The 16,030-nt window shown below is 39.0% G+C and overlaps 1 long non-coding RNA gene across 1 annotated transcript, besides 2 other annotated features; it reads right to left on the bottom strand.

Annotated features, from left to right (window-relative positions):
• Nucleotides 1–1,325: 1,325 nt before the first annotated feature.
• On the bottom strand, nt 1,326–15,035 carry LOC105373485 (uncharacterized). The gene is made up of 2 exons (XR_922814.3): nt 14,660–15,035; nt 1,326–5,184 (listed from the first exon to the last, which is right to left on the bottom strand). It is a non-coding gene; the product is annotated as an uncharacterized LOC105373485 (long non-coding RNA).
• Nucleotides 4,412–5,611: an enhancer, noted in NCBI's record as "CDK7 strongly-dependent group 2 enhancer chr2:13662708-13663907 (GRCh37/hg19 assembly coordinates)". NCBI's record gives its function as "activates an origin of replication core promoter dependent on BRD2, BRD4, P300/CBP, MED14 and CDK7 cofactors, with strong dependence on CDK7, by STARR-seq in HCT116 cells {active_cell/tissue: HCT116}" and the evidence as "EXISTENCE:reporter gene assay evidence [ECO:0000049][PMID:35650434]".
• Nucleotides 4,991–5,360: an enhancer, noted in NCBI's record as "active region_15343". NCBI's record gives its function as "activates an Ori minimal core promoter by ATAC-STARR-seq in GM12878 lymphoblastoid cells {active_cell/tissue: GM12878}" and the evidence as "EXISTENCE:reporter gene assay evidence [ECO:0000049][PMID:35858748]".
• Nucleotides 15,036–16,030: the final 995 nt, after the last annotated feature.

Below are 16,030 nucleotides of genomic sequence, written 5' to 3' on the forward strand. Positions count from 1 at the left end.
AAATATTTCATTAATATCAACTCTACTCCTTTCAGTATAAATGGTACTGCATATACACCTACTATTGTTCTAAGACACTGGTTAGTGATGCTGAGAAAGTTAAAAAGTAGGGCAGAACAAAAACACATTTTATAAAACAAGTAATTTGTGAAAAATTATCTTAAATACATTTCTCTTCATAAAGTTTATGCTTCACCTCGCTATATATAAATTAGAAAATTATGTTTTGACAAATATCTTCATTTACCAGAAGACCAAGTAGCTCATTTCATCAATATATTTCATTATACATTAATTTTAATTAAGTCAGGCCAAATCCATACTTAAGCCTTTCTTTATGTTCAAGCTTAAGGTAGGAAGCACTAAGAGACCGAAATAAGAACTTATGTGCAGTAGAACTCCTAGAAGAAAGGCAATTTATTTTAGTTAACTTTTAAATTGATTATTAAGTTTGCCTTTTATGGGTTTATGTCACTTTTCAGTGGAAATATTTAGGAAATCTTTTCTTTGTTTTGGCAAAATCTTCAAAATGGTTCTTTTGTTACACAAACATAAAGCAAATAGGAATGCAACTAATGTAGAAATACAGGAAGTAGATAGGCATTTTGTCAATTAAGCTTTTAATAACTAAATAGGGGGGTGATAAAATTATTCAATGATATGCAGAGCACCAGTTGTTCATAGGTTAGCTAAGTTTTGCAAACTCTAGAAATATTTTAGGAGAAAAGGGTCTAAAACCCTACTGTCTTTCCCTGTGATAATATGTATGATCACTTTCATGCTTGAACCTAGCTATGTCTGAGGCTTAGAGTATATACTTGGGAAAATTCATTTCCTTCATCTGTGTCTCTGGACTTTACTATTGCATGATCTCCAACATGTAATGATACTTTCAGTACCAAGATCCTCTGACCCTACTCATTTGGATTCTCACATAAGGCTTAATTCTAACTTGACAGCTTTGGCACATATTTCTGAATTTTAATATTTTGTGTTAAAAATGTTCAGATTCATAATAAATTCTCTGCTAACCATGGGTTCTTACCTATCCCTTTAAGCTTTTCTTGAGTCTCCTTAATAAAACCACCATATGCTACATCTTCAAGCTAGAACTTCCAACCCTTCAGTGTGACACGGACCTCATTAAAAATGAAAACTTACCAGCAACTCAGCAGTGAGAATATAGCACCTCTATACAGTTTTTTTTTTTTTAAGTTTCCTTCTCTTGACATGGGAACCAGTCAAGATTAATCTTTAAAATATTTCAAGAGAGCATTTAATTCCGTGGATTTTTTGACAAAAAAGGAAGCAGCTGAGGCAAACAATGTAAGTAGAGAGTTTATTTGGACCAAGCTTGAGGGCTGCAACCCAGGAGCATAGATTCTATTTATCCTGAATATACACTCAAATCAGCAACGTAATAAGTGTTGCTTGTAAACAATTAGGGAAGTAAAGGGAAAGAAGAGGCAGTTCCTGAGTTGTTTACCAAAAATTTACATTAAAATAACATAAGCTATTTATAGGTTGTACATTGTTCTTTGTGTTACAAATTCTAGGAACATGAAGATAATGGGCGAGGCAGCTAGTCAGGGGCACAAGGACTAAACTTTTCCTAGGCATAGTGTGGCATCATATACATACTCATGTCTCTCTGGCCCTGCACACCTTGCAGACTTCAGACTGCTCGGAGCTATTTTCCTTTCCTCATTTCTCCTGTTTATAAAAAATCTTCCCATGGAAGCAGTGATGATCAATCTCTTAGGCCTTCATCCCTTGGCACTGGGAAGGCTCATTCTTGGATAATCCTCAGTCAAGTCATTGATTTCTATAACTGTCATTTCTTGTTAAGTCATCTCCAGTCTTCAGAATTTCATGCTTTTGGTTTTCTCAGAAGAAGAAAAACTGATAAATACATAGTAAAAAACCTGTTTCATTGGGGATTCAGTCCAAATTATTGGAAAATGACAAAAACTCAAAAACAGTGGTCAGGGCTGGAATCTAATAACAGGTATGCTATAATTTTTCTCTGAACCATAATTTTTCTCTCTCCAGTTTCCCATTTACACCTAAGACAAATCTTAGTAGGACCAATTTACTTCCAAAATAAGTTTTAGTGTTGTACTGAGCCTGATTATTTTCAAAAAACACAACAAGAATAGCGATTACCATATAGGCTCTTTTAAATTGGCTTTGCTGAAACTTTCTTAAGGAATTTCAGATTAGGCTTTTATAAGTCTCCAGGCTAGGAAGCCAAGTCAAAGATTCACAATTAGAATGTGCCTGTAATACCTGTACAAATTGAATAAACTTCTCCCTTCTCAAGGTCCCCAAGATATCTTGAGTTTCCTGGGCCTGTTGGATATTGACATTCTTTACTTACTGCAAGGTCAGAATTTTTGAAAGGAACTATGTAGACAAAGTACCAGGTCAATCTCTCTGAGGACTTTTTATTGACTCTATAAAGTCAATCTTAATTTTTTAAAGCAGTCTGATAATATCCAAAAATATGCCATTTTGGTCATAGCCTTAGTATAATAATCAGTGTATCTTATTTTATGGTTACCATAAAATAAGATTATTAATAAATGGATTTTAAATTTTGGAGAAATAAGGTATAGAGAATGTTGTTCACAAATGTTATATTTCACCCAATTCTGTAAGCTATAAACAGCTCAAAAAAGTTTCATTTACTCTGCAAAACAAATATAAAAAGAATCAGCAATGTTTTAAACACAAAGTCCTAAAAAGCATTTCAGTCTTCTTTTTCTATCAGTTCAGTCCCACATAATAAATTCTCATTCTGCTTGATGTTGAGTTAGAAATCTTCATGAACACATCAGTTTATGGGAGTTCTTAAAGTCTTTACTTAGTCTAATAATACAATCTCCAAAGTTATTAGAAACCTGTATTCAAGAGTACTTGTCAGGGTTCATTCTCATGAATTGTCTTAAAAAAAAAAAAAGCAAATTTTGGACTGTTGTCAATTGTAAACCACTTTCTGAGAAGAATCCAAGTAAAACAATAATTTTCTATGAATGACAAAAGACTTAGACTAACCATGGTTAAAAACACAATTGACAAGGAAATTCTGTGGCGAATGACAGTGTAACATAATAACCATATTTGTGTCTGACAACATATGTTAACACATCATAATTTTAGGAATATCATACAATTTTGAAAGACAATAATACAATATATCTCCTCTAGAGATATACTATATTATTTTATTATTATTATTACTACTATTATTTGTGGTATCAAAAATAGTGAAAAAAGGATCAGAAGTGAAAAGAAACAAAAGAATAAGTCTTATAAGAGCCAATTTGGGGGCATGTTAAGCTTTCTAAAAGGCAAATGATGTTTTACATTTTTCTCAGCAAAAATTATGCCAACAAGATAGGAAGTAACCAGAGGGATCAAACACATTTAAAAAGAGTTTCAGTCAACGGAAAAAAATCCCCCAAAACAGGATCCAAAAGAAGAAAATGCAGAAAGCCCCTTTTATTCTTATTTTTAAAATTATAGCCTAAATGTCAGCTTTTAGTTAAGCTGACTTCTGACCATAGAGCTCTAAGAAAGAATCTTTTTAAATTTCTTATTACCAGATTTAATTCAAGACAAACAAACTACTCTGATTCAGTTTGTGTGGTGCAAAAACCAGCTTTTTTTTCCAATTGTGTGCACAAAGAATTATTTTCAACATAGCAAAGGATTCTTATTTTGGTTACTGCTGTTTATGATCGTCCCAGTGAAATGGCCTCATTGTGGAGTAACACCCAAGATCTGTTGTCTCACAGACACAGAAATCTAGGATGCAGATGCATAAAGTGTCAGGTTGAGAGTGGAAGTTTAATAGGCAAAAGAAAGAGAAGAGCTCTCTGTTGCAGACAGGGGTCCAGAAAAATGGGTTGCCGGATCCATGGTGAAATGCAAGGGGTTTTATAGATGCCTGGTGAGGAGGCAGTGTTTGATTTACACAGGGTGTGAAACATTGGTTGGACCAGGTGTGCCACTTGCATAGGTCATGAAAAACTGGTTGGGACTAGATGTGCCGTGTGCATAGGGTATGAATTTCTGGCCACCCCTACCATAATCTTTTATTATGCAGGCGGGTCTTCTGCCTGAGCTGTGCCATGTTGCCCGTTTCTTTACTCTACACATGGTAACAAGAAAAGGGAAGATGGAGCCTCCGTGTTGGACATGCCTGGCCCCCAGGTGGCCCTTTTCTATTGGTGCCTCTGCCAGCATTCGCCCGTGCAAGCTTCCTGCTTGATTATCTATGTTTGCAGCTCTATTTTTCAGGCTGCTCTTTGTTAGAAAAGCAATGATTTGGGGGGCTGCTTTTTGTTAGAAGGGAAGCTCTGCCAAGAACTCTGTTGCCCTCACTATCTGCCTAAATAATTTCTGCCTTCTGTATCACCAGGTTAGGTGGGTCCACTTTCCTAGGCCTTTACAAGAGGATACCCCACGAGTGTTATACATAAATCCAGCTGGTGTTTCTAAAAGGAATACTCTAATTTTGATGCTTGACTTCCCATAATTTAGGAACTTTTCAAAAGTGTCAAGCCTGGGAATGTATTTAGGGTGAAAGTGTAACTTATCTCAGACTGTCTCTAACTTCCAGGGAGCAATAGTGTGCTCAGTGTATGAGGACCAGACTTTCATAGTGTACCTGTTTGGAAGAGCAAAAAGAGGGAACACTTTTCGGTTAGAAACTAACAGGAATTGGTCTCAAATAAAAGGATAGGTCTGAATTTTTAAGCAGAAGAAACAGTTTTAATCTTAAAAGTAGGCCATATAAAACAAAACCATCCGTGTCTAACTGCCAATCCTTTGACCTGAACCTCTGCTGTGAGACAGAGGCAGAAAAACCTTGACCTAAGCCTCCAGTCCTGAGGCAGAGGTGGAAGAACCTTGATCTGAACCTCTCCTGTGAGACACAGCAGCAAAAAGACATTTTCTACAGAGCTCTTTACTTGGAGCTTGTGTCCAAAGACAGAGACCAAAGCCCTCTCTTAAAGAAAAGAGACAGTTTGAAAAACAGCCAAATAAAGTCTATATTTCAACCAAGGAGTGGGAGGTCCTAATTCTGGAGAACTTACCCAGAACACCCAGTGGGACTTCTGAAGATGCAGAGTTCGTGCTGGTATCAAGCACTGCTTTCAGGCAGAAACACCGCACCTGGTGGTGAGAATGAGTCACTCTGAATCCTGCTGACGATGCCAGATATGCCTATCTCAAAGGAACCTGCTGAGCTAAAATTAATCTATTACTAAGCAGAGTTTACTTGGGCCAAGTTTGAGGGCTGCAGCCCAAGAGCATAGATTCTATTTGTCCTGAATATACACTCTGATTAGCAACAGTAACAAGTGGATTTTAAAGGGAAAGAAAGAGTCAGTTCCTGAGGTTTTTACCGAGGATTTACATTAAAATAATATAAGCCATTGATTGGCTCAGCATTGTTCTTTGTATCATAAATTCTAAGAACATGAAGGTATTGAGTGAGGCAGTCAGGAACAAAATGACTTTAAACAATTTCCCCTAGGCATGGGTGTGGGGTGTGAGCATGACTGAATCCCATACCCACGTCTCTCTGGGTCTGCATACTTTGCAGATCTCAGACTGCTCTCAGCTATTTTCCTTTTCTCAAGTTTCACATTCTCAGTGTAGAATATTTTTGTCACAGGCTATTTTATATGTGGACATACAGAATAGGCGAAGGAACTTTTTAATACAATAAAAAATACACACAATGAAACTGGTAGTATGTATTTAACAAAAATCATATGGAAAATTAAGGTCATTTTAATAAATAAGTGACTTTGAGATGGGGGAGGGAATTCATGGGGTCTTATAAAGCCTGTAACATCCTAATGAGTTTGTCGCTTTGTTTTGGTTGCCTAATATCCATAAAACTCTCATAAATTTAAAAATCTATATATTAAAAATGTTTAATGAAGCAAAGGATGCAGAAAAGATTTTATTCTGTTACAGTCAGAAAAAGATGTCTTAGGCAGCTCAGGCTGCTATATCAAATACCATAGACTGGGTAGTTTAAACAACAATAATTTCATTTCTCACAGTTCTGGAGGTTAGAAGTCCAAGATGAACTCTGGAGGTTAGAAGCCCAGCAGGATCAGATTCTCTTCCTGGATTCTATCTGGCTGCCTTTTCATTGTCCTTACATGGTGGAGACAGTGATCAAGCTCTCTGGTGTCTCTTCTTATAAGGGCAACAATCTCATCATTAGGGCCCCACCCTTACAACCTCATCTACCAAAGGCTCTATCTCTGAATACTATCACATTTGGGGATTACAGCATCAACATATACATTTTTAGTGGACATAATTGAGTCCATAGTAGAGTGGCAATTTTAATTAAGCAAAAAATGCAGAGGAGACTATCTGTTACACTCAAAAAAGGGATTAATCCAGCATTCACTCCACAACAAACACAAAGTATGAAAAGTTGATGAATAAAGCATCCACACGTGAAAATTTTCAGTTTTCTTTTTTAAAGTTAAATGTAAAATCAGAAGTGAAACCAAGTTACAATTGTGGTGAACCCTGGAAGTAGCTCTGTTAATACCTGGGGAAAACCAGCTTGTTACTCCCAACTCATAGATTTATAGAGAAATAAATTATGGCTTAGAGAGATGTAACCCTGTTGAGATAAATAATGAGTTAGCAGCCAAGCTAGAGAAAGGATATAGCCCTCCGCGTTCCCACTGCTTTTCCCACCTCACTTTCCTAATAAGCCACTTACAAAACTGGATTCATGTGAAAATATATCCACTTGTTCTTCATTTTGATGTACTTCATAGTCAATGTCTTTCCTAATGATGTCAATCTAATTGAAAAGTTAAAAAAAAGAAAGCCAATATATAGGTGACTAATTTTATTGTTTTAATCCATGTTCTATATTCAAGATAAATGATAAATTGTGACATGCCTTCAGCTGTGCTGCAATGTCATTAATAAAAACGAAAGGAAGAGACAGAATAATAGGGTTGAAGACTCATAGATGTCTTATAGCAGTTAAGAAATGCTATTTTTAAACAACATTATATTGGCTCTACTGTCCTTAAATGTGTAAATTAAATCTTCCTGAAAACAGTTCATAGTAGACAAATGTTACAGGTAAATGCCATTCAGCGCTTAATCACTATTGGCAGATACGAGGTGTAACAGAGTCATACTGACACAGTAAATCAATGAGTAGTAATATTAATATGGAAATTCTTTGGTATTAATGACTTCAGTACCAAATAAGTCTAGAATTTATTTTCTCCCAGTATGCAGAATAAGAATTTGAAATGATTTCACACACACACACACACACACACACACACACACACACACACACATATATATATTTGGTATGTGCTAGCATGGTTTACAGTGAAGACATTGACAGGGTGAAAGAAAAAGGAAGGGTTTAAAGATGATACTGTATTTTTTTTCACATTAAGTAGGAAACAAGAATGGTTCAAAATTGGTCAACATAGTAGATATTGAATGGAATATAAATCAATGGAATTGTGGTAGAGTGAAAAAACGGCCACATTTTTTTCCCATCCATGTAGGTACGTTCTTCCCAATGTGACTTTGCGACTCCTCAAAAAAGAGGTGAAGTTTTTCTCTCCATCCTTAGAATCTCGGCATGGCCTTGCAAATTGCTTTGGTCAGAGGGCATTAGCAAGTATGATACAAGTAAAAACTTGAAAAGTGTTTGCTTACTGAGGGTTGGCCTCTTTTCCTACTGGGAACCCAGGAACTACTGTAGCAGGATGAGCCACAGAGAAAACTCCTCAGACACCGAGTTAAAGAAGGAAGGGGTTTATTTGGCCAGGGGCATCGGCAAGACTCCTGTCTCAAGAGCCGAGCTCCCTGAGTGAGCAATTCTTGTCCCTTTTAAGGGCTCACAACTCTCAGGGGGTGCGTGTGAGAGGGTCGTGCTCCATTGAGCAAGCAGGGGGTACGTGACTGGGGGCTGCGTGCACCGGTAATTAGATCGGAACGAAACAGGATAGGGATCTTCACAGTGCTTTTCTATACAATGTCTGTAATCTGTAGATAACATAACTGATTAGGTCAGGGGTCGATCTTTAACTACCAGGCCCAGGGTGTGGCGCTGGGCTGTCTGCTTGTGGATTTCATTTCTGCCTTTTAGTTTTTACTTTTTCTTTCTTTGGAGGCAGAAATTGGGCATAAGACAATATGAGGGGTGGTCTCCTCCCTTATTCTCCCTATTTGAGACTCTCACTCAATAGTGGGAGTTCTCACTTTCATATTTACTACCCATGTCTTCTTGCAAGACAGATCGATAGTGATTCATATAGTACACTTGTGCTGAAGCATTTTGGTGAACTAAGGTAGCAATGAAGCTTTTTATCATTTGAAGAAGTACAGGTAGCAAACAAGGGAGCAGTAAGTAGCTTCCTATTACTATTATAACTCTTATTATAAGAGTTTTAAATCCTCTTAGCGCTGGGAACCATTTTCTAAACACGGCCCCAGCATCAAATCCATGCCACACTTGCACGGGCAAATGTGCCAGTTTTGTCATATCTCTAACTATGTCTTCAACTACTTGCCCTTGATTATCTATGTGTAGGCAGCAATTAGTAAGGTCAAATTTCCTACAGACCTCTCCTTCAGCTGCTAGCAAGTGGTCAAGAACTAATCTATTTTGATAGATAGCATTTCTCATCTGAGTTTCTTGCCAGGCCAGAATAGTCAAGGCTCTGCCCGTTTTATTAGTGATTATTTTTAAGACAGCTTGTAACCATATGATTCGGTTGATCATGTAAATGGGGGTCCGGTATCCCCACGAGCCGTCTTGTGCCCAAGTAGCAGGCCCATAATATTGTATGATTCTCTCAGGGGGCCATTTATCATTTTTTCAATTTTTTATAGTTATGCTTCTCTATTCACGGGAAGCATAGACAGGGAAGCCAGGAGTTCACCTGTTTTTATGGGCAGTAGGAAGAAAGATGGTTTAATCATGCCAGTAACACAACTACCTGCCTACTGGTCAGGTAAGTTGGTGTAAGCTCTATGCTGACATATCCAGTATAATCCAGTGGGGGCTGTCCAGTCCCGGTGGGACTCTGGGTGGGTCCACACGGTTTGCAACTTTGGGAATTTACTAAATGGATTTCTCTCTGTGTGATTCAAACTCCACCAAGTGATTGTTTTTGTGGTACCATTGTACAGTTTCTGTCTCAGACAACTAAGTCATCCTATGGGGTGAGTGAATTCTTTTCCTTCTCTAGCTATGCAATATTGTCCAATAATTGAGGCTTTTAGGACCCAGAAATTATCAGGGTGATTCTTTTGAGCCAGGAATCCCTCAGGAATTGGGTCTGTATGTACTAATTCTTGGGCTTCCCATGGCCATTGATCTCCTATTACAGTTCCTCCACATACATAACGTGAAGTGACATTGAGAGACTGGGCTACGTGCTCGGCTAATTGCAAAAACAAATTTCTTGTTTTTCCTGGAATTTCTGGTACTGACACATTTAGTTCATCATAGAAAGTTTGAGACGTTGGCTCTGGAGAGCGTTTGTAAACTTCTCCTCGAACCAAGATACTTACTCGAGGATCCAGTCTGGCCCCGTCGATTCCTAAGATCACACGCTTCTCTTTTTCCCAGCGAGGTTCAAGGGGATGGGTTATTACTAGCTCTAAGGGGTTACATTGTCCCTTAGTAGAGGAAGGGCCATTTTTTTCCTTTCTGAAGGTGGACTGGATCCTTTTCATTTTTTTTAAATCCAAGTGGCCTAAATGACACAAGACCAGTATTTACATTTATTTCCACACAGTCCTAATTTATGACAGATGTATTTATTTTCTGCCATATAGCCTCTTTTCTAATTAAGAGAACCACACCTTATTTCTAACTTATTACTATTAATGACAGCACAGGCATCAAATTTTAAGGTGACTTGTTTGGGCACCCTTTTTTCTTCTGTTTTGGCTAAAACTTTACTCATATAGTTTATGAGCCCCCATCAGTCCTCAGTCCTTAATCTTATTTTAAAAACTGTGGTTATGGGAGGCTCAGATGGGTCATAACACACATCAGGTTGGTTATTTCCTGGGCTACCTACCTTGTATAGAATAACATTATACAAACAAGTTCTTTTTAGAGTTCCAGTACACTTACAATAACCATAAAATACTAGGACCATAGCAACCTTTTGTCCTACCTCACTGACTTGATGTATACACTGGGAACAGTCCTCAGTCTGAGGAAGGTCAGTTGAAGTCCCTACTGTAAAAGTCCAAATTTTAAGGAAAATGAGTCCTGCGATGAGTTTCCTCATGCTTTGGCCTTGCGTGGACCAGTCAGCTTCCGGGTGTGACTGGAGTAGGGCTTGGCATCTTCTTCAGAGTCACTTTGCAGGGGTTGGCAAAGCTGCTCCCATCCATGTACTGCTCACATTCTACTGATGTTTAAGGATGGTCTTGGAGGTTGGGCCTGCTAGAATAAACTGAGTCCAACACCTCTACACAGTTATGTTTAACTGGGCTCTCTGATCCCAGGAGCAAGGTGCTGGGGTTTAGGGTGTTGCAAACTTCAGTGGTTATGTGGGGATTTTCACATAGCAAGCTTTGGTACTTGGTTAATCTAGCATTTGTTAACCAATGATGTCCTTTAGTAGTCACTGAAGTTACCACAGCATGGGGGTCCTTTATATTCAGGTTTTGCCTAAGGGTTAGTTTATCTGCTTCTTGTGCTAACAGGGCCGTTGCTGCTAGGGCCTTTAGACCTGGGGGCCAGCCTTTGGAAACCCTGTCTAGTTGTTTTGAGAGATAGGCCACTGGCCTTGGCCAGGGCCCCACAGTCTGGGTTAAAACTCCAACTGCCATTTTTCCTCTTTCTGACACATAGAGTGTAAAGAGTTTTGTCAGGTCAGGTAGCCTCAGGGCTGGGGCCGACAAGAGTTTTTCCTTTAACTCATGAAAAGCTCGTTGCTCTTGGTTGTAATAGATGTAGTTTATCTAATCTACATTTTTATTAACTGTCACCCACCAAAATGTTGACTCAAATCCTGCAGCTATTTGATTTCAAGCTTTAAATTGATCTGGTATTCCTTGTGGGACTCCAATTGCATCTAAATAGACATGAGAGTCAAAAGACCCCTAAGGGGCTTCTCTCGCTTTATGATGTCTTATTTTTTTTTTCTTCTGGTTGATGAAATGCCAGGGCGAAAGGGATAGCCAATTGGATTAAAGTACAAGTGCCACTCCAGTTATTCGGCAGAGTGCCCAGTAAAGGTCCACCCCAATAGCACCACACATCCACTCAGGGATGAACTAGGGCTGACTGATGGATAAGCTCTTGAAAATTCTTAAGCTCGCTGCATCCTTTCAGGTCTCCAAGGAATGCTGTTTCCTCCCTGTCGTGAGAGACACGAAGTGAACTTAGTGTTGGGAGACGGAGGATGGATGGCCCTCTGGGGCTGACCCGCAGGGTGTCGGACTTTGGGATACAGCAGAGAGAGCTTGGCATGACTTATTACTTCAGGCTGTAGAATCCTGGAAAAGAGCTACCATGCAGCCCACACCTGGTCGACTGGAGGACCACCTTAGTGGAAGGGGGACAATCAGGGTCTCTGGCCTGCCATGTGCACAAGCATAACAATTGCTTTTGTTTAATATGCAGATGGACTATTTGATCCATTTTAACCAGGCATTTGCATCTTGGTATCCTGTCTTAATTGCTGAAGTTTGTTTTAAGTCTTCAACTTCTATGATCCTCTGGTAAAATGAATGTATGCTTTTAGGAAATTACAAAAACCGGCTGGGGCAGTCCATCCTTGCTCTTTAGTGGTCCACAGAACGTTGGACCAACTATGGCAACTACATTGGGGGGCAAGACTCCTGGTTGGCACTGGGGTCTTTATCGAAATCTCCCTGGATTCAATGGTCCTAGTTTACCAATTCCCAGTCTGAGGAGAGTCAGGAGGGACAGAAGTACTTTTCTGAAGTAGAGAGCTGTCTTTGACTTGGCAAGTCCCCACAGGGTATAACAAGACAATCATTAAATGCAGTAGTTTGAGGCAAAATTGACTTGGTTATGTTAATAACTAGATGGTCAGCAATAGAACGAGGAAAGAAGAAAGAGTAATAGAATAGATGAAAAGAGTTACATTTTTCTTAGCTTTAGTTTGGTAGGGTTTTCCCCTGGGACTATGGCCCACGACTCTGGAGGGGGTGGCACTTTCTTGACTTGGGTGTGATGAGTCCATCTTTTTTTTTTTTTTTTTTTTTTTTGCTGTACGAACAGCAGTCTTGGTGGTTAGCAGCACAGGGTAGGGTCCTTCCCAGGCTGGCTCGAGTTTTTCTTCTTTCTACCCTTTGATGGGAACGTGATCTTTAGGCTGGTGCTGGTTTACTGGAAATTCTAGGGGTGGTACATGTGCTAAAAGACTTAGTTTTTGAGAGAAAGGAAAGTGGAAGATAAACCAAGTATATGATTTCTAAGAAATTAACCTTTTGTTTTAAATGTAGGGACTTTGGCAGTGGACTTTATAGGCCTTAGTGCCTTTTTACTGATAAATTTCCTTTAGCACCTATTTTTATTAGTATTTAGACCAAAGAAAGCTAAACACTATTTTATATTTAGTAATGCTTTTTGTATGATTTTTATACCAGATAAGCTAAATTTTATCTTTATATTAGTGTGTTATTAATGTTAAACCTAATTTTAATAAAACCTTGTAGACATATTTATCTAATTTTTAATGTTTGACTATAAGGTAAGATTTTATAGACTCTTTTTAACCTTTTATACTTTTTGCTAAAGAGCAGGTTGGTGCTTTAAGAAAAACCTGTTATGCTTTTACTTTAATGTCCAGTTCACAGAAAAACTGGATGATACATCTTTAACTTTAGCTAATATGTTTACACACAGAATTTTCTTTACAATTAACATTTTAAAACTTGCTTAAACCTTCAAAACAATATTTTTTTTAACTTTTTAATGTAGGTGAAAATGTACAATCTTATGCCTCCTTATAATCCTTTTACCAAAGGTATATTTTACTTTCCTTATACATCTTGTACATAAACTGTTGTTTTTTTTTTCAATAGTTTTACATTTAGGAGGCCTAGTTACTTTTAAATTACACAACGTATTTTGCATAAATTCTTTTTTTAACACACTTTTTTTAATAACCTTTTTTTTCTTTCACAACTTTTACAGGCAATTTTTCGACCTGCCTTAACTTTCTGACTTATTACATACATTTCTTTCTTTAAACAACCAGTTAATTTATTTCAGGACAAGAATTTACCATATAACATTCTTTTTATATAAATTCTGCCCCCTCCCCTTTTTTTCTCTCTCTCTTTTTTTTTTTTTCGAAGATGATAACCATTCTTTTCCAAAGCAAACCTTTTTTTTTATGTCTGTGGACTAGACTGTCTAAGTCTGCAAGAATAGAAGTTACTATAATACATGTTACACTGTTAACTTTTAGCAAACTTTACTTTCATTGAAAACCTTGTAAGTTTGGGATTTTAATTATCCTTTGCTATTAATAAGACCTTGTTTTGTCCAAATTAGAATTGGTATACATGGCTTTTTTTTTTTTCAATTACCCGGGAGGAACCATCGATCATCCTGTCCTGGAGGGAGTTCCTCCTAGGTCTGATAAGACCTTTTATGGTAATTAAGATTTAGATCCCCTGTTACGAAACCTGCTGGGTTAAGGGAATTTTCAGTGGTTAATGTTAAATCATTTTTCTTTCTTTCTTTCTCTCTTTGACTTTGTCTCTCTCTCACTTTCCTTTTGCCTCTGTCTCTTTCTCTTTCTCTCTGCCTCTCTCTCTCTCTCTCTCTCTCTCTCCTTGACTCCCTCTTTGTCTGTCTCTTCCTCTCTGTCTCTTTCCTTTCTCTCTCTCTGCTGGTCTTTCCTTGCCTCTGCCAGCCGCTTATTCTGCTGTTCTCTCAACCACGGTGTGTTGGGGGCGGGGGGTCTAAAACCAGCTGTAACCAAGTGTCTATGAACGGGAGCTGGTCTGGGTGCCCTGGCTTACCGGTTACCTTCTGCCATACCTTTGAAACAGGAGACGTGTCCAGGCTTCCTTCTAATGGCCAACCTACCTCTAATGCTGGCCAGTCTTACACAAAGTTTTAAGTGTTCCTGGTGTCATAGTACTCCATAGTCTCCTTTAAATCCTTTTTTTGAAATTTTTCAACATAGTTCCTAGTGGGGTGGGCTTACTTTGTACCTCACCCATGTTTCCTCGAGACAAAACATCATGCTCACACCACACGTGCACCACAAAACAAAGAATGGGTAAAAAGGGCACACACGCACTTTTGTAGTTTACACCAAACCAAAATCAAAACCAAAATCAGAGTATCCGGAAATCCAAGCCAGGTCAAAACCAAAACCAAAGTATCAAGCAATCCAAGTCAAGTCAAAAACAAAAACCAAAGGCCGGTACAGGCACACCGTGGGTGATCAGGCCACGCTTCCACTCAAATGGAGTGGGCAAGTTCCCAAGACCGGTCCTGTCAAGTAATTCAAACCAAGTCAAAACCAAAACCAAAGTGCCGATAAAGGCATGTCGTGGGTGATCAGGCCATGCTTCCACTCAAATGGAGTGGGCAAGTTTCAAAGACTAGTCTTACCAAGTTTTAGATGTCCAGACTCCAAGTGCCTGCTCCTTCATGGTGTTCAGCCACTGTGTTGATCCTCCACGGTAGCCTGCCACACACTGCTCTGGCGAGGCGTCCAACCGGGGCAAATGCGTACCCGGGAGCGCTCTCAGGATCTGCGTCTCTCAGGCTGGTCGGAGTCCCCAGCAGGCATGTTCCACAGGGCAGGCTTAAGCCGCCTAAGGAGCTGCCTCAACCATCCACCAATCACCTCACTTCCCAGTCAGGGAACCAAGAAATGTAGCAGGACGAGCCACAGACAAAACTCCTCAGACACCCAGTTAAAGAAGGAAGGGGTTTATTTGGCTGGGGGCATCGGCAAGACTCCTGTCTCAAGAGCCAAGCTCCCTGAGTGAGCAATTCCTGTCCCTTTTAAAGGCTCACAACTCTAAGGGGGTGCGCGTGAGAGGGTCGTCATCGATTGAGCAAGCAGGAGGTACATGATTGGGGGCTGCGCGTGAGAGGGTGGTCATCGATTGAGCAAGCAGGAGGTACGTGACTGGGGGCTGCATGCACTGGTAATTAGATTGGAACAAAGCAGGATAGGGATGTTCACAGTGCTTTTCTATACAATGTAATCTGTAGATAACATAACCAATTAGGTCAGGGGTTGATCTTTAACTACCAGACCCAGGGTGTGGCGCCGGGCTGTCTGCTTGTGGATTTCATTTCTGCCTTTTAGTTTTTACTTTTTCTTTCTTTGGAGGCAGAAATTGGGCATAAGACAATGTGAGGGGTGGTCTCCTCCCTTACTACCATTTATGAACTATGGGCTTTCCATTGAAGAGCCATGTAAAGAGTCAGGGAACCCTGGCCAACACCCTGCTACTTATGACACATGTGAGCAAAGCCCTGCTAGACTGGCCCACTAGACTGCCTCAACAGAGCTGCCATCTGACTGCAGCTGCACAAGTCAGCTCCCAGGAAACAAGTAGGAAATCTGCTTGGAGTTACATATACGGTATAATGGTACAGTCTTCAAGACTATATGGGCTTAATATAATTATAAATATTTAAATAATTGAAGGAAATAGAGAGTCCAAAAATAGCCCATCAAATATACGGCCAATTTATATTTGAATTGTTTCAAAGGCAATTCAATTGAATCTGATATGTTTCAACAATGGTGCTGGTAGAATACACATGAGGAAATAAGCCTTGTTCCACACACACAAAAAAACCTAAAAATGTAAATGGAAAATGGAAAAGTATAACATTTCTAGAAGAAAAAGCAAAAGAAAATCTTTGTGATATTGACTTAGGTAACAGTTGGATACTACATCAGAAGATGAAATATAAAATAATAAATTATAAATTAAGCTGCATCAAAATTAAACCTTTTGC

This window comes from Homo sapiens, chromosome 2 (genome assembly GCF_000001405.40).
Source record: "Homo sapiens chromosome 2, GRCh38.p14 Primary Assembly".
NCBI lineage: Eukaryota > Metazoa > Chordata > Mammalia > Primates > Hominidae > Homo > Homo sapiens.